Consider the following 27,371-nt stretch of genomic DNA (forward strand, 5'->3'; position numbering starts at 1 on the left):
AAATGCAGTCCTTTGTGGTCATGGGAATTCCAACCTGTGAAGGTATTGTTTCTTCAATGAGGCTATACTATGGTCCTCAACATGCAACATGGCCAAAAAGGCTGCTAAAGTAGCCAACACACCTCTACTACAGCCAGGAGTGATCAGGAAGGACAGAGCACCTCTTCCTATTAAAAACACCATCTGAAAATGGCATATACCATGTCTGCTCGCACCCAGTGTTCACAGTTCAGTTACATGGCTCACTTCACTGGAAAGGAGGCTGTGGAATGTAATGCTTATTCCAGATGCCCAGCCTAAATTCTATAACTGGAATAAAAGGAAAATGGACATTGGGCAAAGTCATAGTCTCCTAAGAGAAGTAACCAGGAGTTACTCACTACCCATCTCACCCCTCTAGTATATGTATGTCCTCTCCTTTCCACATGTGAAATGTACTTACCCACTTGCCAAGATGATCCAGATTTTCTGGGCAATGTGTATTTCTCTTCAGCACATCTGAATGCAGCTCCCCATGGTGCAGAGACTTACCTGCATTCCTCCTGCTCCACCCACATACCCAATATACTATAGTGGAGTATGAACATAATCCAATAAATTACATTTTTATTCAGAAAAAAAGGATAAATGGGAAATATAGCAGCCACAATCCTATGGAATGACCAAATTCTGTTGTGCAGGAATTTACATGATGTCCAGCTCTGGCAGGGGAGTACAATTTTTGATTAGCTCATACTGCGAGTCCTGGTTACTTCTCTTTGGAGTTGGAATGTCCTTCACTATTGTCCTTCATGCCCCCAGACTTTGTCCTGCAAGGTGTTCTCTTGTGTCTGTTTACAGTGGCCATTTCTTTTTTTAAGTCTAGTTATATTGATCTAGTATTTATGTGCAGGAAAATTCATTCTTTTGGTGTACAGATCTATGAATTCTGACACAGGCATAATTGAGTAATTACTACTACAGTAAAAAAAAAGTACTTTTTATGAAATAAAACTACAGTGCTGTCAACATGCTTATAAAACTTTAATAACTTAAGTGTTTACCTTTCCCTAACTTCTAGATTTGTTCATTTTTGTTTTACATGTGGATTGTTCAAGTCAGAATCCAAAAAGTCTATACGTTATATTTGGTTATGTGAGTCTCTAAAGTCACAATTTAATGTGTGTATTTCCCCTTTTTATTTTTTCTAATATTTGCTTATTGAAGAAAGTCATGTTTCTATGAAGTGTTCCACATTCTGCACTTTACCATTCATCCACCTGATGTCATTTAATGTGTAGCTGTAGACCCAGTATTTCTTGTAAACTGGTAGTTAGATCTAGAGGTTTGGTAATATTCAGTTTTGACTTTTTCCCAAGAAAACTTCCTAGGTGATGCCAAGAGATGTCCATCCTCCTACTAGCGTTTACTGTGGGCCAGTATCTGGTTCGCATTTGCATGAGCATTATAAAATTTATTATAAATACTACTGGCTTCCCAGGACTGAGTGTTGAATACAGAATCTCTGGAGAGTGCACCACTTCAAAAACTAAACCAAAGTCATGTTTCATCTTTTATTAAGAAATTTTAAAATCCATTCCAACAGAGTTTTTGATGACAGAGTTTAGCAATTTCTGATAATGATCTCTACATACAACTTGTCTTTTCCACCTAACCGTGTAACCAGGCTTGTGATGGGAGGAGCTGCCACTAAGTTCTCTGACATGCCCTGGAGACATTTTCCCCATTGTCTTGGCAATTAAGATTTGGCTTCTCGTTACTTATGCAAATTTCTGTAGCTAGCTTGAGTTTCTTCCCAGAAAATGGGTTTTTCTTTTCTACCATATGGTCAGGCTGCAAATTTTCCAGACTTTTACATTCTCCTTCCCTTTAAACATATGTTCCAATTTCAAATAATCTCTCTCAAGTTCTGATATGGTTTGGTTGTGTCCCCACCCAAATCTCATCTTGAACTGTAGCTCCCATAATCCCCACATGTCCTGGGAGGGACCCAGTGGGTGGTAATTGAATCACGGGGATGAGTTTTTTCTATGCTGTTCTTGCAATAGTGAATAAGTCTCACAAGATCTGATAGTTATATAGGAGAGTTCCCCTACACATGCTCCCTCTTGCCTGCTGCCATGTAAGATGTGCCTTTGCTCCTCTTTCATCTTCCACCATGATTGTGAGTCCTCCCCACCCATGTAGAACTCTGAGTCCATTAAACCCCTTTTTCTTTATAAATTACCCAGTCTCAGGTATTTCTTCATAGTAGTATGAAAATGGACTAATACAGTAAATTGGTATCACAGAGAGTGGGGTGCTGCTGTAAACATACCTGAAAATGTGGAAGCAACTTTGGAACTGGGTAACAGGCAGAGGTTGGAAAAGGTTAGGGGGCTCAGAAGAAGACAGGAAAATGTGGGAAAGTTTGGAACTTCATAGAGACTTGTCGAATGCCTTTGCCCAAAATGTGATAGTGATACCGACAATAAATTCCAGGCTGACATGGTCTCAGACAGAGATGAGGAACTTGGGCACTGGGGCAAAGGTCATTCTTGCTATGCTTTAGCAAAGAGGCTGGTGGCATTTTGCCCCACCCTAGAGATCTGTGGAACTTTGAACTTGAGAGAGATGATTTAGGGTATCTGGAAGAAGAAATTTCTAAGCACCAAAGCATTCAAGATGTGACTTGGGTACTCTTAAAAGCATTCAGTTTTAGTCATTCACAAAGATATCATTTGGAATTGGAACTTATGTTTAAAAGGGAAGCAGATCATAAAAGTTCAGAAAATTTGCAGCCCGTCGATGTGATAGAAGATAAAACCTCATTTTCTGAGGGTAAATTTAAGCCAGCTGCAGAAATCTGCATAAGTAACAAGGAGCCAAATGTTAATCACCAAGACAATGGGGAAAATGTCTCCAGAGCATGCCAGAGGTCTGCATGACAGCCCCTCCCATCACAGGCCCAGAGGCCTAGAAGGAAAAAGTGGTTTCATGGGCTAAACCCCAGGTCTTGCTGCTTTGTGCAGTCTTAGAACTTGGTGCCCTGTGTCCCAGCTGTGGCTAAAAGGGGCCAAGATATAGCTCAGGCCATTGACTCAGAGGGTGCAAGCCCCAAGCCTTGGTGCCTTACACATGGTGTTGGGCCTGCAGGTGAACAGAAGTAAAGAATTGAGGTTTGGGAACCTCCACCTAGATTTCACAGGATGTATGGAAACGCCTGGATATCCAGGCAGAAGTTTGCTGCAGGGGTGGAGCCCTCATGGAGAACCTCTGCTAGGGCAGTGCAGAAGGGAAATGTGAGGTGGTAGCCCCCACAGAGAGTCCCCCCGAGACACTGCCTAGTGTAGCTGTGAGAAGAGGGCCACCATCCTCCAAACGCCAGAATGGTAAATCCACCAACAGCTTGCACCATGCTCCTGGAAAAGCTTCATGCCAGACTGTGAGTTTGCCCAATGTCCATTTTCATGCCAGCTCATGAAAGCAGCCGGGGAAGGGGGAGTGGGCTGTACCCTGCAAAGCCACAGGGGCAGAGCTGCCCAGGACCATGGGAACCCACCTCTTGCATCAGTGTGACCTGGATGTGAGGCATATAGTCAAAGCTTATTTTGGAGCTTTAAGATTTGACTGCCCTGCTGGATTTTGGACTTGCATGGGGGCTGTGGCCCTTTTGTTTTGGCAATTTATCCCATTTGGAATGGGTATATTTACCCAAAGCCTCTACCCCCATTATATCTAGGAAGTAACTGACTTGCTTTTGATTTTACAGGCTCATAGGTGGAAGGGACTTGCCTTGTCTCAGATGAGACTCTGGATTTGGACTTTTGTATTAATGCTGCAATTAGTTAAGACTTTGGGAGACGGTTGGAAGGGGATGATTGTGTTTCGAATTGTAAGGACATGAGATTTGGGAGGGACCAGGGGTGGAATTATATGGTGTGGCTCTGTCCCCACCCAAATCTCATCTTGAATTGTAGCTCCCATAATCCCCATATGTCCTGGGAGGGACCCAGTGGGAGGTAATTGAATCATGGGGGTGGGTTTTTCCTGTGCTGTTCTTGTGATAGTGAATAAGTCTCACAAGACCTGATGGTTTTATAAAGGGCAGTTCCCCTGCACATGCTCTGTTGACTGCCATCATGTAAGACACGGCTTTCCTCCTCCTTCACCTTCCACCATGATTGTGAGGCCTCCTCTGCCATGTGGAACTGTGAGTACATTAAACCTCTTTTTCTTTATAAATTACTCAATCTCAGGTACTTCTTCATAGCAGTATGAAAATGGACTAATAAAAGTTCAAAGTTCCACCGATCTCTAGGTCAGGGGTAAAATGCCTCCAGTCTCTTTGCTAAAGCATAGCAAGAGTGACATTTGCTCCAGTTTCAAATAAGTTCCTCATCTCCATATAAGAACACCTCAGCCTGTACTTCGTTGTCCATATCACTCTCAGCATCTTGGTCAAAACCATTCAGCAAGTCTCTAGGAAGTTCCACACTTTCCCACATCTTCCTGTCTTCTGAGCCCTCCAAACTGTCCCAACTTCTTCCTGTTACCCAGTTCCGAAGTGGTTTCCACATTTTTAAGTATCTTTGTGGCAGTGCCCCAAACTCCTGGTACCAATTTCCTGTATTAATCTGTTTTTACACTGCTACAAAGAAATACCCAAAACTGGGTAATTTATAAAGGAAAGAGGTTTAATTCACTCACAGTTCCACATGGCTGGGGGGCCTCAGGAAACTTACAATCATGGAATTAGGGGAAGAAAATATGTCCTTCTTCACAGGGTGGCAGGAGAGATAAAAGTGTAGTGGGAATAGCCCCTTATAAAACCATCATATCTTATGAGAACTCACTATCATGAGAACAGCATGGGCAAAACTGTCCCCATGATCCAATCACCTCCCACCAGATTCCCCCCTTGACACTTGGGGGTTATTGGGATTAAAATTCAAGATGAGATTTGGGTGGGGACACAGAGCCAAACCATATCAGTATGGCTCTTACCTTAGGGAAACCTGACAGCTTGGAAGAGATGGCTGAGTAGCTGACCAGACATTTGAGTTCGAATCGTGAAGCTGAGGGAGGAAAAAGTCAGAGTTTAAAGCCTGTCAGCTAGTAGGAAACCTAATAAACACCACAGGATTTTGGATGGGTAAAAAGTTGTTGTACCCAAGGAATAAAAATGTTCCAGAAATATCTCAGCCTTCACAGGGACACAAGTCAATTTGAAATCACCTCAATCTAAATTAGGTTAATGTAATCTAGGACTACAAGTGACTCCCACCCAGCTGCTTGCAAAAATTAATGGTAAAGTCTCTTTGGAGGAAGGTTATATTATCTTTGGCTTCTAATTTTTTCTACAAGACAAAATTTCCTACAGAAAAATGAATGTCAATCTTTGACTTTTATAAAAAGGTAAGGAACTTTTATTGGCAAAATCAATCAAGAAAGATGGTAAAAATGTAGATTTAATAAGAAAAAATGTGACAGTATTCTATCCAATACTAAAATGGGAGTTACATATTTTAACTATAAGTATTTGCCTATAAGCCCATTCAAGGGCTTACAGTGCTCATGGAAGTGATCACCCTTCTTTCTTCATTTCTACCTGAATAGTAGAGCATTAGAGTCATTCTTTCTCTACCAGACCATGTGAATTGACATTTCCTGTTTTAGATTGTACTGAAACTAAAAGAAACAACTGTACAACCAAAGATGAGGTATAACCTTAACCAAAATTATATCTCTGGACATTTTCATAAAACCATGGGTCCTCTTATTAAATGCTGGAACCCAGTACTCCTCCTGCTACAACCACACACACTAAAGATTTCAAATCACCTGATCCTACTATTGCAAATAAATCTCCACTGAGTTATTCATGGAAGTGTTTAATAGGGTAAATCAGTTGTAAAATCTTGTTTTTAAACAGCATGCAAATAAAGCCTGCTCTTCATGGCCCCAGTTCTGAAAGCCCTGTCATGTATCACTGCTTGAGCTTACCTGCCGTATGACTTCTGCCTCCATCCCTCTGAACCAAAGATGGGCCTCACAAGATGGACCAGAAACACAGTGGTTCCAAGTGGTTATAGTAAGATTCATTTGCCACCTAAATTTTAGGTAAAAATTATCACTGGAATGTTCAGGAACTGGGCACATAGACCCTGGAATTTTGCAACAGCAAACACATCTGAATTTGGAATCTATATCTCAAATGTTACCACCTCTGTGACAGCATCCCTGAAGCCCTCTCTGTGCTACCACTGCAACCTGTTCACTTCTGTATTATGGTTATAACTCTTTTTTTAATTTTTTTTTTTACTTTTACTCATCTACTAGATTGTGACTTAATGGGTGGTGAGGACAATGTTACGTTCATCTTAGCAATCCCAATGCTTGACACTATATCTGGCATGCACAAAAATTTCCTCCAAAAAGACGGAATAAAATTTTTAAAAAGATACTTTAGGTTTATAGGTATTAGACATAAATTAGTGGAAGGTAACAGCTATCCCATAGAGCACATTAGAGAGACTGGTGTTCCAACAGCTACATGAAGTGGAACCACACAAACCAGCTAAAGGTGAGGCCCTGCAGGTTGGGCTTCTCCAGCACTTTCTGTCTTTGCTGCATGATCCTCATGGACTGCATCCAACCTTGTAAAGTCAGCCAAGAAGAGAAAAATCAGAGGCTCGTCCATTCCTTGCCGGTGTGATGACATGAGGAGCCATCCTTTGTGAACAGAACTCATTGGTTTCTGCAGTTTTTTGTTTTGTTGTTGCTTTTGGTAAAGGTTGGTTATAGCGTTGAAGCAGAACTAAAAGACGTCCACTCACAGTGAACTCTGGCTAATGATTCTGGACAGTCCAATCCTGTGGTTCAACTACTTCAATGGCCAGCCAAGGGAAAAGGGACTGAGTATATAAATTAATTCCCAGGCTTCAGGGAGCAGAAAACGCCTGCAATTCGTTTGGACATTGCAGTGTGCTTTTGCTCTTGTTGGCTATAAAAAGGCTAGGGAGAAAAACCAAAGTTAAGGAATTAAACTTCCTACTATATAACATATTGGTTTACAAGAAAAAACATATATATATAAAGTTATTTATATTTAAACCTTTATATTTTAATCCTTAACTCTTCCCCAGGAATCCCTATACATTTTCACAATAATCCAGGATACCACAAATGATGGAGAGAAGGGCATTTGAGATCTTGTTAGCCCTTGAGGCCGCCCCAAGAGGCTCACCAGCTTCAGATCTAGCACCATCAGACCAACAGATGGTTCTCAGAGGAGCACATGGAAGTGAACGTCCAGCTTCCCAACTTAACACCCCCGCTAATCACTCAGCCAGGGAAAAGCAGTTTCCCAGAAGGCTCAAGCTCTGTCCAAGAGAAGTGAGGGCTGGGCAAACCATTTCCACGTCCTGCTGCCACTGGGCATGAGGGATGTGGGTTCTCACCTCAGCTCCGCCCTCCCCTTACCCGGTTTCCGCAGGCTAATCCTCTGTCGCCATCTGCTGGCAGCGCGCGGCACTCCCCAGCCCGGTTAGGAAGAAACGGCTTTGCTGGGTGAGATTTAGGGGCTGCTCTCGCGTCTCGTCTCGGGAGCTGTCCTGAAAGGGGGCTGCCACGCTGGTCTCATTCTGTAGAGCTGCAAATTAAGGAGCACTGCGGGTGCCTCCAGAGGGTCTTGGAGGGTCATTTGGGCTGTGAGGTTGTAGGGAAAAGAAAGAGCGATCAGACTGTTACTGTGTCTATGTAGAAAGGAAGACATAAGAAACTCCATTTTGACCTGTACCCTGAACAATTGCTTTGCCCTGAGATGCTGTTAATCTGTAACTTTGCCCCAACCTTGAGCTCACAGAAACATGTGTTGTATGGAATCAAGGTTTAACGGCTCTAGGGCTGTGGAGGATGTGCCTTGTTAACAAAATGTTTACAGGCAGTATGCTTGGTAAAATTCATCGCCAGTCTCTATAGACCAGGGGCACAATGCACTGTGGAAAGCCGCAGGGACCTCTGCCCTGGAAAGCTGGGTATGGTTCAAGGTTTCTCCCCATGTGATAGTCTGAAATATGGTCTCATGGGATGGGAAAGACCTGACCATCCCCCAGCCCGACACCCTGAAGTATCTGTGCTGAGGAGGATTAGTAAAAGAGGAAAGGCTCTTGCAGTTGAGATAAGAGGAAGGCCACTGTCTCCTGCCTGCCCCGGGAACTGAATGTCTCGGTATAATACTCGATTGTACATTTGTTCAATTCTGAGATAGGAGAAAAACCGCCCTGTGGTGGGAGGCAAGACATGTTGGCAGCAATGCTGCTTTATTATTCTTTACTCCACTGAGATGTTTGGGTGGAGAGAAACATAAATCTGGACTATGTGCACATCCAGGCATAGTACCTTCCCTTGAACTTATTTGTGACACAGATTCCTTTGCTCACGTTTTCTTGTTGACCTTCTCCTCACTATGACCCTGCCCTCCTACCGCATTCATCTTGCTGAGATAGTGAAAATGGTAATCAATAAATAATGAGGGAACTCAGAGAATGGTGCAGGTGCGGGTCCTCTGTATGCTGAGGGCCGGTCCCCTGGGCCCACTTTTCTTTCTCTATACTTTGTCTCTGTGTCTTATTTCTTTTCTCAGTCCCTCCTCCCACCTGATGAGAATTACCCACAGGTGTGGAGGGGCTGCCTCCGAATTAAGGAGCACAGCGGGCGCCTTGAGAGGGTCTTGGAGGGTCATTCGGGCGGTGAGGTCTGGAGGAAAGCGGGGCGGGTTTCTTCCTCCTGAGGTACCAGGAAGATGGAGGCCACTGCAGACCGCGTGCCCCTACTAGTCCCTGCGGCCCTGGGCGCTCGAACCTCGGGCCACAGCTAGGATGGGCGCGGTGGTTATTCCCTTTTCTGGAAGGAGGAAGGCTAGCAGCCTCTGGAGTTTTGATGGGGCCGACACCCCCTTAAGAGTCCAAACGAAGGCTCCTTATGAAGGCATTACTCTCATAGAGGTTCTTTGCCTTCCAGGTCTTTGACTGAGCTGGAGTCTATGATCTGGATCCTAGGAATCCCGATCTCACAACACTTTTGACCTCAAATTGAAGTGAACATCACCTTTTCCTGCTAGTAGTTGAGTAATTTGGTAATATTTATCCAAAACCTAAAAATCATGCACAATCATCTAGACCATCAAAACAGAGTAACATGGTAGTAGTAAGAGAAGTAACAATGGCAAAGGCGCCATACCATTTCCGGAGCGTTCGTGCCAGGTACATCTCCACGACCATCCCATAGGCTACCTCATTTAGGCTCATGCCCTCTATGAGACAGTATTAGCGGGGGCATGTTCTTTACATGCAACGACAGAACCAGGACAGAGGCAAACATAAAGACGCAGTGGCTTTCAGGGTCGAGCTCAGCACAGTGTTAATTCTGTCTATATTCTACTGCCCAAAGCCCAACATTGATGGGGTGGAGAGCAACTGCAAAGGCACCTGGCAACCAGTGTGTGTACAGGGAAGGGGGAAGATCTGAGAACAATTTTCCACACTCGGCCACTGGTTCTTCCAATTCTCCAAGTACTTCAAACTAGATTAAACAGCAAACGTGTATTTAATATAGAATGTGTGTGCATTTTAATATATTGGATAGGCTATGAGACGTGACCTGGAAAAGCACTAGGCTTAGATACAATATTGCATTAAACTGCTCTGGGTCCATGAATGTGAGAATCATATTCATTCACCTCTGTTCCCCAATGTCCAGTACAATACCTGGCACAAAGTAGGAATTAACACATCTCTTAAATGAATGAAACCATGTGGAAATGATATTATTTGTGTACCTCTTCTGTCTTCCCTATTTGAGGGCAGGGGTCAACATTTTACCCTTCATAGAATGTGGCACCGGATCTTGTAAATTGCCACCCGAAATTTATACCTTGAATAGATTATTGGATTAATGAAAAAGCATTATACTAGGAAGAAGTAAGCCACTGTGCCTTTTTGCAGTTAGATCTGAGAGGCAGCCATCATTCAATAGAATAAGTTTGGCTTCTAGTTTCAGATGGGAATACAAATCCTCATAAGGATGTTTCTGCACAATTATTTGCTAAAGCTTTTTGTGAAATGGCGAAGATAATCTCACCTTCCCCACAGGGTTATTGAGAGTATTAAATGAAACAGACACATGTAAATGCCAAGCTCAGAGAGGAACTCAAAGCAGTACAGCAGCAGAGGTCATTTCCCTCTACACACTCCCTGCTGCTTCCGTGGGCAGACATAAGTGTTAGCCAGGCCAATGAAAGCAGTTAAGCAGCCAAGTTGGACTTTGCCAAGGGATCCCACACCACCACCACCCCTTTTAAAGGTTACTACAAAAGTAATCTTAAGAAAGTTTTATATATAATAACTGTGATATTTTTAACTTGATTGCACATCTTATCAAACAGGTATTGATTTTCAGTGCTTTCAATGATTAAGAATAAGGGCAACAAAAAAGAAAATCTGTGTATAATATGATGAACCTGGAATTTTTGGTTTCATACGTGTGTGTATATATATGTATATTTATGTATATATATATATATACACACACAGAGCAGTAATGGCCTTTAAAATAAATTCAAATAATGATAGAAAACAAAACATCTTCATGCATGGTGTAATCTTTTTCCTACAAGAAGGCCTTGTTTTAAAAATGTGCATAAGGTTATGCTTTTGCATATTTTATATAATTTCTTAAAGGTATGTTATCAAATTAATGTTTTCCAGCCAGGGTATCATATTTAAGGGTGATAGTAAATACTCCAAACACACCAGCTGTCACAAAATAATTATGCCTATGTCTATTATTGTTATCTGTTTCTCATAAAATTAATCATAAATGATATGAATTATTGATTAAAATTAGTGTTTATAGACTATAAACCTATGAAAAGCCACAAGAGCAGTATTTTTACATATTTTTCAAGAATTCAGATAACAGTGTAACCTTTGATTATAATAACAGAATTCATTTCTGTAGCAGAATTACAAATACAGCAATTATAAATATAAATGATACTCCGTTAAGTCCATCCTGCTTTTAACTGTGCAACTATTTACAGCCAGAGGCAGGAATAAAAAAGGGTGTATACGTGTGGAAGAAAATTCACTCCATGCTGTTTTTGACCTTGCGTGTAAAAAATAATTCATTACTATCAAAAGAGGCATTTTCCCAAATAAAAACAAACAAGGAAACAAAAACACAGGAAAAAAAAAAAAACTACTTACTGACCGTGACTTAAGTGTGGAGGAAAAAACCCTTTGCAGCTAATGTTGGCAAAAGTGTGTCCCCCGTAGATTTAGTCTAAGAATTAAGAAACTGGCCGGGCGCGGTGGTTCATACCTGTAATCCTAGCACTTTGGGAGGCCAAGGTAGGCGGGCTGCCTGAGTTCAGGAGTTTGAGACCAGCCTGGGGAACATGGCGAAATCCTGTAGTCCCAGCTACTCAAGTGGCTGAGGCATGAGAATCGCTTGAACCTGGGAGATGGAGGTTTCAGTAAGCCAAGATCATGCCACTTCACTCCAGCCTGGGTGACACAGTGAGACTCTGTCTCTAAAAAAAAAGAAAAAAGAAAAAAGAAAAAAATAGCCTGTTTAATGAAGCATTGACAAGGAACCCAGGCTATGATTATAGAATAGGAGCTTCATAGTAATTGTAAGAACTCTGGTTCTTAGAAGACAAAAGTTAAATTTAATAAATAAGTTTAATGGCCAAAATATCTTTTTAAAACTTGTTTGTAGTCTTTAGAATGTGAATTTTATTTGGTTTAGATCTTACTAAGCTATATTTTGTAACTGAAATTAATACTTCATTTTTGCCTGAAATTAGTAGAAAAAACAATAGCTAAAGTTTGCTACAGATAAATAAATGTCAATATTAGACTTTTTTTCTTTTGAAAAGGTAGGGAACTTTAATTAGTAATATAAGTTAAGAAAATGACAAAGATGTCAGATAATGAAGAAAAAATGTGACAGTAATCTTTCATCCAAAAAAAGGTTATGTTCCTATTGTCTAAAGCCAAAATATATTTCATTGCAAATATATATAAAGTTTAAGAATTGTTATTTTAGGCCCTTTCCGCAATAAGCCAACACATAACTTATCATGCCATAAATGTTTTTAAAAGAAATATGATTAAAATTATACAAAACGACATAAAAATTTCAGAAAGAATATTGATAAATATCTTGGTACATAGTAGATTTAGTTGCACAGATATTAGGTGGTACAAGTTTTATATCTTCTATAATAATAACTTTTTATTATCTCCTTGTGCACTAATATTTCAATATGTCAAAGTCATTTGAATAACCTTTCTAGTAAATCTCAACTTCGTAGATTGAAAACTTTTTTAAAAGCTTTATTTAAGTTTAGTGGTACATGTGCAGGTCTGCTATATAGATAAACTCATGTCATGGGGGTTTGATGTACAGATTATTTCACCACCAAGGTATTAAGCCTAGTACCCATTAGTTGTTTTTCCCGATCCTCTCCCTTCTTCCATCCACCACCCTCCGATAGGCCCCAGCGTCTGTTGTTCCCCTCTGCGTGTCCATGTGTTCTCATCATTTAGCTCCCACGTATAAGTGATAATATGCAGTATTTGATTTCTGTTCCTGCATTAGTTTGCCAAGAATAATGGCCTCTAGCTCCATCCATGTCCCTGTACAGGACATGATCTCATTATTTTTTATGGCTGTGTAGTATTCAATGGTATACTGAGTTTTCTTTATCCAGCCTACCACTGATAGGCATTTAGGTTGATTCTTTGCTATTGTGAACAGCGCTGCAAGGAACATACGTGTTCGTGTGTCTTTATGAAAGAATGATTTATATTCCTTTGGGTACATACCCAGTCATGGGATTGCTGGGTTGAATGGTAGTTCTGTTTTTAAGTCTTTGAGGAATTGCCACACTGTTTTCCACAATGGTTGAACTAATTTACACTCCCACCTAGTATATAATCCTTCCTTTTGGAAACAAATTTTATCAGTATATTCAATTCTGAACACCCATGTTTTAGAAAATGTTAAGCCTATTGTCCTTTAATCACTATTTGCTTACACATTAAAATGTAAAACAGGCAAAAGAGAAAGAAGGAAGAAAGGAGGGAGGGAGGGAAGGAGAAAAGTGAGAAAGAAAGAAAGATAAAAGAAAAAAGAAAGAAGAAAGAAAGAAAGAGAAGAAATAAAGAGAAAAAAGAAAGGAAGAAAGGAAGGAAGGAATGAAGAAGAAAAGAAAAAAGAGAAAGAAAGAAGGAAAGAAAAAGAAAAAAAGAAAGAGAAAGAAAGAAAGAAAGAGAAAGAAAGAAAGAGAGAGAGAGAGAGAAAGAGAGAGAAAAGAAAATTTTCTCCAGATTAGAATTATTGGCTGCTATTGTTTGGATGCTGGGTACTAGCTGTGATTACCCTTTGTGAATGTAGGAATGCACAGATTCCAAAAGTGAGTCTCATAGAAAAAGTCAGCATTCAAATATGTTTTAAGGTTACTCTATCCAAACCCCAAAGAACCCACAGAAGATGAAGCAGTAATTTTAGCTTCTCTTGGTGTATTGTACATGCATTTAAGGCCAGTTCCTTCCTTCAAATTCCCATGTGTTTTGTAGTTACCAACACACCTTTCAACCCTATCTGTTTATATACATCATATAGTCCTCTGTCAATTGCATAAAAGTTGTCCCCTTTGTGACTGTAATCGCCTTTTCCAATACACATCTACTCAGAATGCAGGTCCTTAAACAGCAGGCTGCCTTGAAAACCCTCTCCAATCTTCTTCGATCATCAGCTTTGAGATGCATATTCCTAGAGCCCATATCATCTTCTTCATCACTATCATAAACGTCTCCACATATTGATGAACGTTTGGAGAATCGATTTATGACAAGGGAGTTTACTCTTCCTGCATCCGCGGCTTCTTCGTGATTTTGTCCTAGTCACCGGGCCTATCCCACCTGCTGGGGATGCCGCCCCCTCGGAAGTGCCTGAAATCTCCCCACTTACCCAACTAGCCTCAGCGCCTCCTGTGTGCTGCAGCAGATGGCGCGCTGCAGACCCCAGCCTGGTGCCTCCGCGACTCCTCCCCAACCATGATTTACAGGCGGGGACAGCCACATTCCTGCGCCCCAACTTCCACCTCCGCTTCCTGCGCGCGCGAGACTCAAGCTGCCACAGTGGCTCTGCCGCCAGCGTCCCAGCTCCTCCCACACCCGAGTTTTTATTTCCTGCTCCCTCTCCAGCCCGGCCCAGGCCAGCCTACCGGCGACTAGGATGCTTTCGCTTTCGCTCTCGCTTTCCAATACTCGGGACTGGGGAAACCGGGAGAATAGAAGCAGGCAAGGACCGCCGTGGGCACGGGGTCAGTGAGACAGGGTCCTGCTCGCGGCGTCAAGGAGGAGCGCTGTGGGTGGGTAGGGTAGGCGCGCCCCCTCGGCCTTGCCTTTCCAACCACTCTTTTTTGCACGCCAACAGGTGTCCCCAGCGCAGCCAATCGGCTTCCGAAGTAGGTGAGTTGCTGCCTGAAGAGAAAAGACAAACTCCAGTATCTTTCATTCCATTGGCCAGACGCGCCATTCCCCAAGTGAGTTCTGTTCTCCAACCAAAGTGCTGGATTCCAAGGGACTGGAAGGGAAAGTCCCTAAAAATCACGAGTTCAGGCGTCTGAGACTTGGTGGGAACGGACCTTCCTCTTAGGTGAGTTACTCTTTGGTTCTGGGGCTGACCTGGAGTTTTGCCAGGATTCATTGGCCGCAGCAGGATGCTGGTGGGGACAGGGTAAATAAAATCTGCACTCCTGCGGGCTTTTATTGTTGAAAGGGGCACTGACGCTCTCCCTGGAAACTTAAAAAGAACAGCCAAGTGAACGGATGTGTCTTTCTTTTGCAGTGCCCAAGCCTGTTCTAATTTTTAAAAACTGATGTCTATTAAGACCCAATGTTAACTTTATGAAAATGGTTCCTAAGGAGATTCACATCTCTGTGTCCGAATTCTGTGTGCAGCAAACATCATCTCAAGTGCGTTTTCCCAACTACGCTTCTTTCCAGGATAAAATACTCTAAGTGACAAATGTTGAGTACATTATCAGGTATGTTCACTATTGTGAGAACTGAAGCCATCTACACTCACATAGCTTGCCAACTACATTAACCTGACTTCTTATTCCATTATTTTCATCAACATACATTTACTATTTCAAGAAACTTTTGCCAGGGACCGGAAAGTTGCAAATATCTTTATTGCTTAATCCAGTATCTTCTTCAAAGATCCAACCACTCTTCAATGGAAAACATCAAAGAACAGTTTACATTCTAAGACTTTGAACCTTTACCTCAAAATCCTAGCCTTGTTTTATCTACCAATCCTAAACTTTTACCCGTAGCTGACTCAATTCTAACCAATTCCCCTCATTAAATATTAGACTTACAATGGGACTTCAAAATCTCAATACATATAGCCCAAACTTGCTCTTCCCTCTCTGAGACACCACTTAAATTCTGTCAAGTTATTGTTCTCCATTACCTAAGTGAGCAAGAAACTTAGCTTTGTCTTATCAACAGGTTGCTTTGATATTACTGGGAGCCAACATTTGACATTCTTGGAGGCTCCAGCAAGACCTAATCAACCTCCCAACCCTCAACTCAGAATCAGTGTGTGCCCTGAAGTCCCTTCAACCTTCTTGAGGCTCTCCCTGATCTCAAAGGTGGAGAAAGTAGATCTTGCATCAGGTTGAACTCCAGTTTCTTTTTGCTCAGTTTTTCAAGCGCTGAGTTTATTTTGTCCCTAGGCATAAAGAAATCTTTCTAGGAACCCCTTTGGTTATGGGACCAGATTTTTAAAAGCTTTTTAGGCTTGGTGAAAAATCTGCCTTATCACTAGCAACACTACGACTTGTCTCTGTTCTTGTTTTTTGTTGTACTCGTGTAAAAGAAAAGTTCAAGGGAAGAGAACAGGCTCAAGTCTACTTCTCACGCTGGCTCTGGGGATTAGGAAATTCAGAAAGTTTTGTTTCAGACTGGCAGTGCTGTCTGATATAAACACAGCGTCAAGTACTGCACGCTGTAGCTACCTGAGGTTTAGGCCGGAAGAGGCACGGCTGATTTAAAAGTGAAAGAAAGTAACCAATTGGTTCGCAGACAACCTTTTCCCAAAAGGCGGGCGATTCAAACCCCTAGCCCCACCTGCTCCGTTTCCCGCCCAGCTGGAGCTCTGGAGCCTTTGCTTCCTCAAATACGAGCGGGAACTGCGTTGAGCGCTGGATTCCAGGCCGAGTGCTGGCGAGGCGCGCAGTGAGTGAGCACACAGGGCGCTGGGGTGCTCCGCGGGGCGCGGTCACGGGCGCGGCCGCGGCGGGCTCGAGTCCCGGCTGGGAGGAGAAGGAGCTGGGTGTCAGGAAGCCGGGGACTGACAGCGCCACCCATCTGGGGAGCCGGGAGGACACAGGTTTTATTTTGGTAGTGCTGCAAGTCCCCTTGTGTGCTGGGGGGAGCGGGGCGGCGTGGTAGGATTGGAAGAGGCTTAGAGTTGGCCTCGACCCCTGCCCTTGCCCCTGGAAAGGCAGAAAGTGGGGGTTGGGGTGCGGAGAAGCAGGAAGAGAGGGAGAGTGAAGGAGGGGAGGAAAGGGAGAGAGGAAGAGGGAGAGTGAAGGAGGGGAGGAAAGGGAGAGAGGCAGAGAGGGGGAAGGAGAGAGGGAAGGAAGGAGAGATTGAGAGACAGAGAAATTCCTAAGGGGAGCTGTCAGGTGGGCTGGACATGGGCCCCAGGCTGCACTGCTTTATCCCTTTGCTGTAGGAAGTCAAGCAAGTTCTTTAGGTAAGTAGAACCTTGATGTCAAGTATAAAACAGGGGTTGGTATAGGATAGCTAAGAGCACTTTATATTTTGATATAATCTGATTTATCCTGGATACTGAAAACAATGTAGGGAGACGGAGGATATTGGAGTGTTTTCTTAACCTCTTGCCCCTTTCCACTGTGATTGCTCAAGTACATGCAAAATTAATGTTTCTTTCTGCCCATTTTATTTTCCTTTTTTTGTCTGTGTCTATTAATCATTCCTAAAGCACCCGGATCCTCTCTCAAACTTCGTAAGATGAGACATCATGAACAGACACAGTGAATCCCTAGATTTTCTTAATAGTTGGGCAACAAGTTCTTGCATTTAGGGATGTTGCAACATAGCCCAGTTCCGCAATTGTACATTTTCTATTTTTTTTCCTAGGTTCTCTGCTGTTTAAAAAGTATCCCTGTGGTGAGTGTATTGATATTGATAACATTTACATGACCTTTTTATTGATTATTTACTGGGGGACCTATTACATACAGGCAGTGTTTTAAAGGCTTTGCATATGCTCTCTCTCTCTCTCTATATATATATATATTTACACACACTGTATATATAGATAGATTGCATATATAATATATATAATATGTGTGTGTATGTGTGTATATATATATTGTGTGTGTGTGTGTGACAGAGAGAGAGAGAGAGAGATGAAGTCTCGCTCTGTTGCTCAGGCCTCAGGCTGGAGGGCAGTGGTGTGATCTCGGATCACTGCAACCTCTGCCTCCCAGGTACAAGCCACTCTCCTGCCTCAGTCTCCCAAGTAGCTGGGATTACAGGCACCCACCACCATGCCCAGCTAATTTTTAATTCTTAGTAGAGACAGGTTTTCACCAGGTTGGCCAAGCTGGCCTCGAACTCCTGACTTCAAGTGATCCATCAGCGTTGGCCTCCCAAAGTGCTGAGATTACAGGCATGAGCTACCGCACCCAGACCACAATATATTTCTTAATCTTTATAACAAGGTTGATTCCCACCTTAAGGTGAGGAAAATGAAGGAAGAATAGTTAATTAATATGCCCAAGGTCATGCAGCTAGTAAGTGGCTACCTGATATTTGAACTCAGACAGTTTTATAAGTTCTAACATTATTTTAGCACTTCCATATTCATTATCTCATTTAGAATCATTGCTTCTTTTTACAAACAAGAAATTGAGGCTCAGAAAGGCTAAATGAATTTCCCTAGTCAATGACTGACAGTAAACTAGAAAGCCAGGACTCTTGTTCCATAGTGGAATGGTTACGAGAGTAAACATAGCCTTTAGATAACTTCCATTTGACAAGAAATACAGGGGCTAGAACATAAGTTAAACAATGACATGAGGAAACAACCCAGGAGGTGAACATTCTATAGAGACAATTTCTCTGTTCTCTTCAACAAATCAGTGCTTTTTCTAGAATAAAAGAGCCTTATAAGACATATAAAGGAAACTGTGTACCTCAGTTGGATCTTGGTATGAATAAATCAGTATTGTGATTATAAAAGAAAAATTATGTAATTTTTAGAGATGGGAAGTGACCATTAGCGTTTAAATGTCATGATGTTTCTAGCTGTAACATAAATCATCTAGTAAAATAAAAGGATGGTGTAAGGGTAGCCAAACCCGGGTTTGGCAACTCACACCTCAAAGCCAAACATGAGAGATGAGAGTTGGTGGGAGGAAAAGCAGGTTCATTCAGAGAGCCAGCAAACTGAGAAGATGGCAGACTAGCAACCCAAAGTAGCCTCTTAAGTGAGTACAAGTTTCAGGCTCTTTATGTTAAGGGCATGGGGAAGAGAAGGGATTTACGATCAAGAGGTGACCATTGACTGGAGACATCTGAGCACCATCAAGGATCCAAGAAGGTTGGGAATGTCTTTGTCCTGATGTTCCAGTGAGCCCAAGCATTGATTTGCTGAAGAGAACAGATAAGTTGTCTCTATAGAATGTTAATTTCCTGGGCTGCTTCTACATGTTGTTGTTTAGCTTATGTTCTAGCCCCTGTATTTCTTGTCAAATGGAAGTTATCTAAAGATTATATTTATATTTGTTCTCCAGGTCACAACCCTCCTGTAAATTTTTAACAATCCATAGTTGTTTACATACTTTCCCTTTAATCCCAGAGCTAGTTTTTAAAACTACATTTTTTTTGCATATTATCTCACTGCTCTAAAATTAACCTCCCCTCCATGCATGAATGGATAAAGACCCCGTGAACAAAAATAGAGTTCTTTATGTTAGTTCTTTTACTGTTTCACTGTTACATAAATTGGCAAAAAAATGAACAATTAACTATGTGATAGGTATGTAGAAGTTCATTATACCATTCTCTCATTTTTTCTCTAATAAATTGTTCATAATAAAAAGTCCTGAAAGTATATTCTCTGAGTTTTATGACCTTGAGTAAAAGTTTAATCTCCCTGGGTGTTCAAGCTCTTTTGCCAGTAAAATGAGACAAATAGTACCTATCTCATAGGGTTGTAAGAATTACATGAGATAGTTGATGAAAAGCACTTAGAACAGGGCATAGTACACCATATGCCTACTCCATTCGTTTATTGAATGTATCTTTAGAAATGTATCTTTTTCAAGGGCCTGACATGTCTCAGACATTGTTTTGAAATATTGAGGTACTAAGGACAGACATGGCTGCTGCCCTCAATGGTATTTATCTTTCTAGCGGTATTTATTACTATTGAAGATGTCACTATTTTATTTAAAGTTTGTTCATCCTCTTCTAGGGAGACATCAGAGGAGAGATAGAAGGAAAAATACCTCTTTAAACAAAAAATCTAAAGCAGCAACTAAGGTTTCTGACTATCATCCCTAGCAAACTTTCCAGATTTCTTTTTAAAATCTCATTCCAAGTTTCTTTCCTCAGCTCTATCCTCACCACTTCCCTGTAATTTTATCTCCCCTTGCCATCTTCATCTTAAATGAATAACAGATTTTAACATCAATGTAACTAGAACAGCTTTTTGAAATTTCCAACTGAAAATTATTCTATTATTTATACTTGCATTTGAATTCCATCTCTGCCACATAGCTCTGGCCTTGGGCAGTTCGTCTACCTTCTCTAAGCTATACTTTCCCCATCAGCAAAGTGTAGCTATACCTAATTTGCATAGCATCCGCAGGAATTTGCAGCTAGAGATAATTTTCATAAAGTGTTTAGTATAATTTTCATGAAGTGCCTGACACGCAGTGTTCTCGAAAAGAGAGCTTTTATTGTTAAGGTGATTATAGTTGGTGAATAAACTATCTATTTGCTAAGGTACCATCTCCAGGGAGAGCAAGGTTGGAGCCTAAGGGGAAAGATGGGACGCAGGACACCAGCTAATCTTTTCCTCTGTACAATTAATGACAGCTTTGAAGATACTGCTATAATTTGAAAATTTGAAATTAGTGTTTCAGCTGAACCATCCGTTCATCTTCAAGCCATCATGAGCTGTAAGAAGCAGAGGTCACGGAAGCACTCAGTCAATGAAAAATGTAATATGAAAATCGAGCACTATTTTTCTCCGGTATGTCTGTAAATTCTACTTATGTAATCTAGTCATCCCTTGGTATCCATGTGAGATTTGTTCCAGGACCTCTCTTGGATACCAAAATCCATGAATGCTCAAATTCTTCACATAACATGGCATAGTATTGGCATATAATGTATCATATCCTCCTGTATACTTTAAATCATCTCTGGATTATTTGTATTACCTAATACAAGGTAAATGCTCTGTAAAATGTTGATATACTGTATTGCTTAGGGAATAATGACAAGAAAAAAAAAGTCATGCACGTTTAGTTCAGGCACACTCATTTTTTTTTTCCCAAAATATTTTCAATCTGCAGTTGGTTGAACCCATAGATACAGAACTCACAGATACTAAAGCCTGTTTACCAATATTAGACTTACCTATCCTTGGCATTGGGTTTTATAGTTCTTCTTGCCAAGAAATTACCTTGAGTGTTGGGCATATTAAATAAACTAAAATTGTCCTTACTTGTTTTATCCTTTCTATTTTGGGGGCGGCATGGGGAAGAGAGTTGTAATACAAATCTTGGCTATATCAAAGCAGTCTTTAATGAAAAACTATTGTAATATTTCTTGAATAACAACAAAAACTTCAATACAATATGTTACAGTAAACTATGTAATAAACCAAAATTAATACCATTTCATAGCATGAAAACATATACCATTCCAAACGTGGCTGATCTATTCAATTGTAATTATAACCTACATTTGAATATAGTTTATAAAACAATTTTTTTAATATATTTGTTCTTACCATAACCTTGTTAGGAAGTCAGGAAGGATTCTGACAAATCTTCAATTTGTTTATTGGAGAAGAGGGAGAAAGTGAGTTGTTGCTTAAGGCAGGAATGAAGTGAAGACTTGGAGTTAAGTTTAATGACATGTAGTTGGGCCTTTTTCTACTGATTGGGCTCTGTTATCATATCAAACCATTGTATCTTTCCCTGAGTCTAAAATTCTCCTTGAATTTATCAAGAAAAAAGTTGAGGAATGGTAAACATTTGAGTATGAAGCTTACAATTTCTCAACTTGTTTTGTTTTGTCCTGGTTCTGGAAAACTAGAATATCCAAGTATCTAAAAAGTCTAAGGCAAACTTAGTTATGTTTTTCTCTATCCTATTCCATGACAGAGCTAATTACTATATCCTATTCCTCTTCCCCTTTCAGAAGTGTCTATATCTGCCCAAGAATCATTTTAATAAATAGGAAATTTATTATAGTACTCTAATAGGGTGCATGACAAAGATGTTTCTGACAGCATTAGGCTGAAGGGATGCTCTTTGAGAGTTTATATGTGAGCCCAGGGTAAATCTGCATTACCTTAAGTCCCTTTTATTTATTTATTTTTGATCTGGAATATTAGTATAAAGAAGGAAAACAAATGTTAACATATTATGTGCTAGTCATTGTGCTAGGCATTGTCATACAATGATGCTACACTTAATCTTTACAATATTCCTAGCATTGTTATTCCCAGTAGTAGTAAGGGGCATTGCTGGCATACGGACCCATATCTGCTGGTACCCATGCCATGATGAATATGACTTGGGAAAAATGTGTTTTTTAGACATAGGAAACAGACACTCTAATTTTTCACTGAGTTTCTACTATTTGATTAAGCCTCTTTATTTAATTCCTCTCCCCACCTCCACCCCCGTTTCTTAAGATAATGCGCTACAAAAATGGCAATCATAAATATAAAGTTTACAAAAAAGAATGTATACACTAGTCCAGTGGAAAATATAATTGGACTGGGAATTGCAATTTTGATACTCACTTTATTTATTGGTTATTATGTGACCCTAGAAAAGACGTCTACAAGAAAAACTTTCTGTGCCTTAGTTTCTCCATCAAAAGGATAGATAAGTCATGTTTGTTCCTCCTTATTTTATAAACTTTGGGGATTAGTTGATGTAATAGAGAAAATAGAGTTCTTTTCATGATATATGCTGGGCAAATCAAAGTATTTATTGTTACAAATAACTACATTATAACCAAATGATTAGTTAAATAATGATTTTGTTTAATATGTAATGCTTATAATAAATTGCGGTAGCTTATCGCTGAATTCAGTATTTCAAGAACAATTTTTTTTTGCTGTAATTCATTATTGTCCTCAGGAAATATAAAAATTATATAGCTGAAGATAATAAACAAGTCCTGAAATAAAACTATTTCAAATACTAGTGGACTTTTTTTTTTTGAGATGGAGTTTCACTCTTGTTGCCCAGGCTGGAGTGCAATGGTGCTATCTCCGCTCACTGCAACCTCCACCTCCCAGGTTCAAGCATTTCTCCAGCCTCAGCCTCCCAAGTAGCTGAGATTACAGGCATGTGCCACCACACCCAGCTAATTTTTGTATTTTCAGTAGAGACGGGATTTCACCATGTTGATCATGCTGGTCTCAAACTCCTGACCTCAGGTGATCCACCCGCCTTGGCCTCCCAAAGTGCTGGAATTGCAGGTGGGAGCCACCATGCCCGGCCACTAGTGAACTTTTAAGAATCTCTGTTTTTGAGGCACCTGGGAAAAAATTTTTTCTTCCCTCATATTTTTCAGAAGAATGCACTAGTGTAGTGGTACCAAGAGTTTATCTGACAGAGGTTATAGGAAGCTCCGCTTTCATTTTGGATCCCATGTCAAACACTGATTTAATATTATTCACTGGCCCTTTTAGATTGGTTCTCAGTTTCTCATAGGAATTTTGTGAATTGCATACCTGAAAAGAGAAACAAAAGACTCGGGTTGCATTCAGAGTTTTAAAGTATCTAACATTTATTTTTAGGTCTCTAAAGAGCAACAGAATAATTGCAGTACTTCTCTAATGAGGATGGAGTCTAGAGGAGACCCAAGAGCCACAACTAATACCCAGGCTCAAAGATTCCATTCACCTAAGAAAAATCCAGAAGACCAGACCATGCCCCAAAATAGGACAATATATGTTACCTTGAAGGTAAACCACAGGAGAAACCAAGATATGAAACTTAAGCTCACACATAGTGAGAATAGTAGCTTATATATGGCTCTCAACACTCTCCAGGCTGTCAGAAAAGAGATAGAAACTCACCAAGGCCAAGAAATGCTTGTGCGTGGCACAGAAGGAATCAAAGAGTACATAAACCTTGGAATGCCCCTCAGTTGTTTCCCTGAAGGTGGCCAGGTGGTCATTACATTTTCCCAAAGTAAAAGTAAGCAGAAGGAAGATAACCACATATTTGGCAGGCAGGACAAAGCATCGACTGAATGTGTCAAATTTTACATTCATGCAATTGGAATTGGGAAGTGTAAAAGAAGGATTGTTAAATGTGGGAAGCTTCACAAAAAGGGGCGCAAACTCTGTGTTTATGCTTTCAAAGGAGAAACCATCAAGGATGCACTGTGCAAGGATGGCAGATTTCTTTCCTTTCTGGAGAATGATGATTGGAAACTCATTGAAAACAATGACACCATTTTAGAAAGCACCCAGCCAGTTGATGAATTAGAAGGCAGATACTTTCAGGTTGAGGTTGAGAAAAGAATGGTCCCCAGTGCAGCAGCTTCTCAGAATCCTGAGTCAGAGAAAAGAAACACCTGTGTGTTGAGAGAACAAATCGTGGCTCAGTACCCCAGTTTGAAAAGAGAAAGTGAAAAAATCATTGAAAACTTCAAGAAAAAAATGAAAGTAAAAAATGGGGAAACATTATTTGAATTGCATAGAACAACGTTTGGGAAAGTAACAAAAAATTCTTCTTCGATTAAAGTAGTGAAACTTCTTGTACGTCTCAGTGACTCAGTTGGGTACTTATTCTGGGACAGTGCAACTACGGGTTACGCCACCTGCTTTGTTTTTAAAGGATTGTTCATTTTAACTTGTCGGCATGTAATAGATAGCATTGTGGGAGACGGAATAGAGCCAAGTAAGTGGGCAACCATAATTGGTCAATGTGTAAGGGTGACATTTGGTTATGAAGAGCTAAAAGACAAGGAAACAAACTACTTTTTTGTTGAACCTTGGTTTGAGATACATAATGAAGAGCTTGACTATGCTGTCCTGAAACTGAAGGAAAATGGACAACAAGTACCTATGGAACTATATAATGGAATTACTCCTGTGCCACTTAGTGGGTTGATACATATTATTGGCCATCCATATGGAGAAAAAAAGCAGATTGATGCTTGTGCTGTGATCCCTCAGGGTCAGCGAGCAAAGAAATGTCAGGAACGTGTTCAGTCTAAAAAAGCAGAAAGTCCAGAGTATGTCCATATGTATACTCAAAGAAGTTTCCAGAAAATAGTTCACAACCCTGATGTGATTACCTATGACACTGAATTTTTCTTTGGGGCTTCCGGCTCCCCTGTGTTTGATTCAAAAGGTTCATTGGTGGCCATGCATGCTGCTGGCTTTGCTTATACTTACCAAAATGAGACTCGTAGTATCATTGAGTTTGGCTCTACCATGGAATCCATCCTCCTTGATATTAAGCAAAGACATAAACCATGGTATGAAGAAGTATTTGTAAATCAGCAGGATGTAGAAATGATGAGTGATGAGGACTTGTGAGAATTCAGTCTACTGGATTTAAGGGAATGGCTTATGGAGTTGTTATTTCATAGGCATTGAAAATGGTTTTCTAAACTCCAAAATGGTCATCTTATCAATAATAATAATATTGACCATTTCCTATCTGCCAGGCATTTTTCTAAGCACATGAAGAAATTAGTCCTAACAACACTATGAGATGGACTATAACTTGCCCAAATTTTTTTTTTTTTTTTGAGACTGAGTCTCACTCTGTCGCCTGGGCTGGAGTACAGTGGTGCGATCTCAGCTCACTGCAACTTCCACCTCCCAGGTTCAAGCGATTCTTATGCCTCAGTCTCCTGAGCAGCTGGGATTACAGGCAAACGCCACCACACCCAGCTAAATTTTTTTTTTTTTTTTTGTATTTTTAGTAGAGACAGGGTTTCACCATGTTGGTCAGGCGGGTCTCGAACTCCTGACCTCGTGATCCACCTGCCTCGGCCTTCCAAAGTGCTGGGATTACAAGTTTGAGCCACTGCACCTGGCTAACTTGCCCTATTTTAAAGTCAAGCAATGGGAAGAATAACAAGATTATATAGTAATCAGTTTCATGACACTAAAAGTCATATAGTCATAGGGTTTTTTCATCTTTCATATCTTTGCCTAAATTCATTTGCTACAGTGCAGGAACCAAAACTTGTTCATCTCATGATTCCCTACATCTGACATAAGGAAAGTAAGTGCTCAGAAAAATGTGCAGGTCAATAAGTTGCAAAAGTTGGGGCTGCAATTAATGCTAACATAAGAGCTAAATGCTTGATTAGAAATGATCTCAAAACCTTTTAGAATTTCCAAAATCTTCATATTACTGAAACTGTCGGAATATATGGGTCTTGAAATTCAGAAGATGATAGTCACTCTTCCCATATTTATAGGCTATTAAGGCAAGGGATATCTTAAACATCATATTACTTTATTTAGATTTCTACTACTCCAATTATTAATGTTATGTATTTCTCATTGTTTTACTTCTTCATGGTATTATGAAGACTATATAGATGATTCAACCAAGCCTGCAAATCTCCCTCTTGTGGAATTCCACTGGACCCAATCTGTTTTCCATTTCCATTGCAATACTACTAAAGCCATACAATATCAAGCACCCTCCCTCTAGGTCCAGGGACTATCACAGAAGAAGCAGGCATGTAAGATTTTAAGGACTGGTTTCGAGGGGTCGAGTGTAGGAAAACAGCCTGTTGCATTGTAAGAGTGATGTCATCTTGAAGAGCAGCTGGCATGATGACTGCTGTTTGACTCCTGCATACCAAGATATTCTGCAGCAATGTCTTTAAACAGTGCCGGTAGTACAGATAACCCCTCATAAAGATGCTTATCTAACCTCCCCAGTGTTCAGGTGTTTCACAAGAAAGTCTGAGATATGACTAGCTACACGTTTTGCCAAAAATGCTTGTTATATAAAGGGTACTTTTGGGAGGGTGAGTGCCGCCATTTAGTGGCTGCTAGAAACATTGCTTCTGTTTGTAAGTTCCTATTAAATGTTTCTTTCTGAGAAACCGTATTTGTCAGCCTCTTTCTTTGGCCTCTCAGCTTCTTTGGTCTTTGGGGGTAGGTTGGGGTAGGTTTGCATTGACCTGCTCACCGTGAAACACCTGGTGACTTTTAATGAAGAATGGCATTAGAAACCAAGATCTAGGCACTAGATATGCTCATTGCTGGTGGCGTGTTGTTTCTTTTAGGCCCCCTCAGCTGACAGGGCAAAGAAATATTTGTGTGTATATTTACCCACATATGTATATGTACACATATGTATATATGCCTTGCTTATCTGTAAATTCCAACTCCAAACAGTTGGAAGCGTGATGCCTGCCATCCCTCACACATTCACTTAATTGCTTAATCCAAGTATACATATATAGCAGTGTCAGAATTGTTAACCTCTACCTCAATGGGAAATAATTTTATCAACTAGAATACAGTGCCTATGTGCAATTTCCCTGCTTTTAGTCTTATATATTCCATTCATTCCCAAAGTTATTTCAGTCACCCTGTTGTTTCTTACCTCCTTCAGTGACGTTTTATATGCTTATAGTACAGTTATACATAATATAATAGTTAGATTTTCTTGTCACAGTTTGAATTCTTTCCTTTGACCCCTTGACCTCCTAAATGATATTTTAATGTGTATTCATTGATTCACTCTGTGCTGTAAAGTTCTATGGGTTTTATCATACAGAATAGTTATATCACCCTAGAAATCTGTGCTTCACCTATGTATCCCTCATATCCCTCCCCTCTCCCCTGAACCCCAGCAAAAAAAAAAAAAAATCACTGATCTTTTTACTATCTTTATGGTTTTGCATCTTCTAGAATGCTATATAATCAGATTCTGTTTATATAGTTAGTACATTTTCCACATTTTTCTTTTTTGTTGTTGGTGGTGATTTTTCTGCTTAAGTGCTTAAATGGGTCCCATGCAT

At 40.5% G+C, this 27,371-nt stretch overlaps 1 protein-coding gene, 1 long non-coding RNA gene and 1 pseudogene across 34 annotated transcripts, besides 3 other annotated features; 1 reads left to right on the forward strand and 2 right to left on the reverse strand.

The window, feature by feature from the left end:
- On the reverse strand, positions 5,380-14,216 carry FAM111A-DT (FAM111A divergent transcript). Its single transcript, NR_110184.1, has 4 exons — positions 14,023-14,216; positions 11,365-11,575; positions 7,465-7,689; positions 5,380-6,996 (listed from the first exon to the last, which is right to left on the reverse strand). It is a non-coding gene; the product is annotated as an FAM111A divergent transcript (long non-coding RNA).
- Positions 13,495-14,038, reverse strand: LOC100422399 (protein kinase cAMP-dependent type II regulatory subunit beta pseudogene; annotated as a pseudogene).
- Positions 14,032-14,481: an enhancer, noted in NCBI's record as "active region_4746". NCBI's record gives its function as "activates an Ori minimal core promoter by ATAC-STARR-seq in GM12878 lymphoblastoid cells {active_cell/tissue: GM12878}" and the evidence as "EXISTENCE:reporter gene assay evidence [ECO:0000049][PMID:35858748]".
- FAM111A (FAM111 trypsin like peptidase A) lies at positions 14,264-26,447 on the forward strand. Of its 33 annotated transcripts, NM_001374857.1 has the most exons (7): positions 14,264-14,354; positions 14,491-14,712; positions 14,905-15,103; positions 16,217-16,304; positions 17,235-17,264; positions 20,244-20,361; positions 23,158-26,447. In NM_001374857.1, exons 6-7 carry the CDS (start codon positions 20,281-20,283, stop codon positions 24,910-24,912), a joined length of 1,836 nt encoding a protein of 611 aa, NP_001361786.1. In that variant the 5' UTR covers positions 14,264-14,354; positions 14,491-14,712; positions 14,905-15,103; positions 16,217-16,304; positions 17,235-17,264; positions 20,244-20,280; the 3' UTR covers positions 24,913-26,447. The 33 variants fall into 33 exon arrangements, with proteins under 33 accessions (NP_001361786.1, NP_001361781.1, NP_001361783.1 ...); NM_001374852.1 differs by lacking the exon at positions 17,235-17,264 and having other exon boundaries at positions 14,264-14,377; positions 20,252-20,361; NM_001374854.1 differs by lacking the exon at positions 16,217-16,304 and having other exon boundaries at positions 14,264-14,377; positions 20,205-20,361.
- Positions 15,850-15,959: an enhancer, noted in NCBI's record as "active region_4747". NCBI's record gives its function as "activates an Ori minimal core promoter by ATAC-STARR-seq in GM12878 lymphoblastoid cells {active_cell/tissue: GM12878}" and the evidence as "EXISTENCE:reporter gene assay evidence [ECO:0000049][PMID:35858748]".
- Positions 23,991-24,120: an enhancer, noted in NCBI's record as "active region_4748". NCBI's record gives its function as "activates an Ori minimal core promoter by ATAC-STARR-seq in GM12878 lymphoblastoid cells {active_cell/tissue: GM12878}" and the evidence as "EXISTENCE:reporter gene assay evidence [ECO:0000049][PMID:35858748]".

The sequence above is a fragment of the Homo sapiens genome, chromosome 11 (assembly GCF_000001405.40).
Source record: "Homo sapiens chromosome 11, GRCh38.p14 Primary Assembly".
Classification (NCBI taxonomy): Eukaryota; Metazoa; Chordata; class Mammalia; order Primates; family Hominidae; genus Homo; species Homo sapiens.

What these genes read in the sequence shown, in the direction of transcription:
- FAM111A (NM_001374863.1), top strand. Translation starts at nt 20,281, where the DNA reads ATGAGCTGTAAGAAGCAGAGGTCACGGAAGCACTCAGTCAATGAAAAA. An exon ending in TCGAGCACTATTTTTCTCCG is followed by an intron (nt 20,362 to 23,157) that starts GTATGTCTGTAA and finishes ATTTATTTTTAG; the next exon opens with GTCTCTAAAGAGCAACAGAA.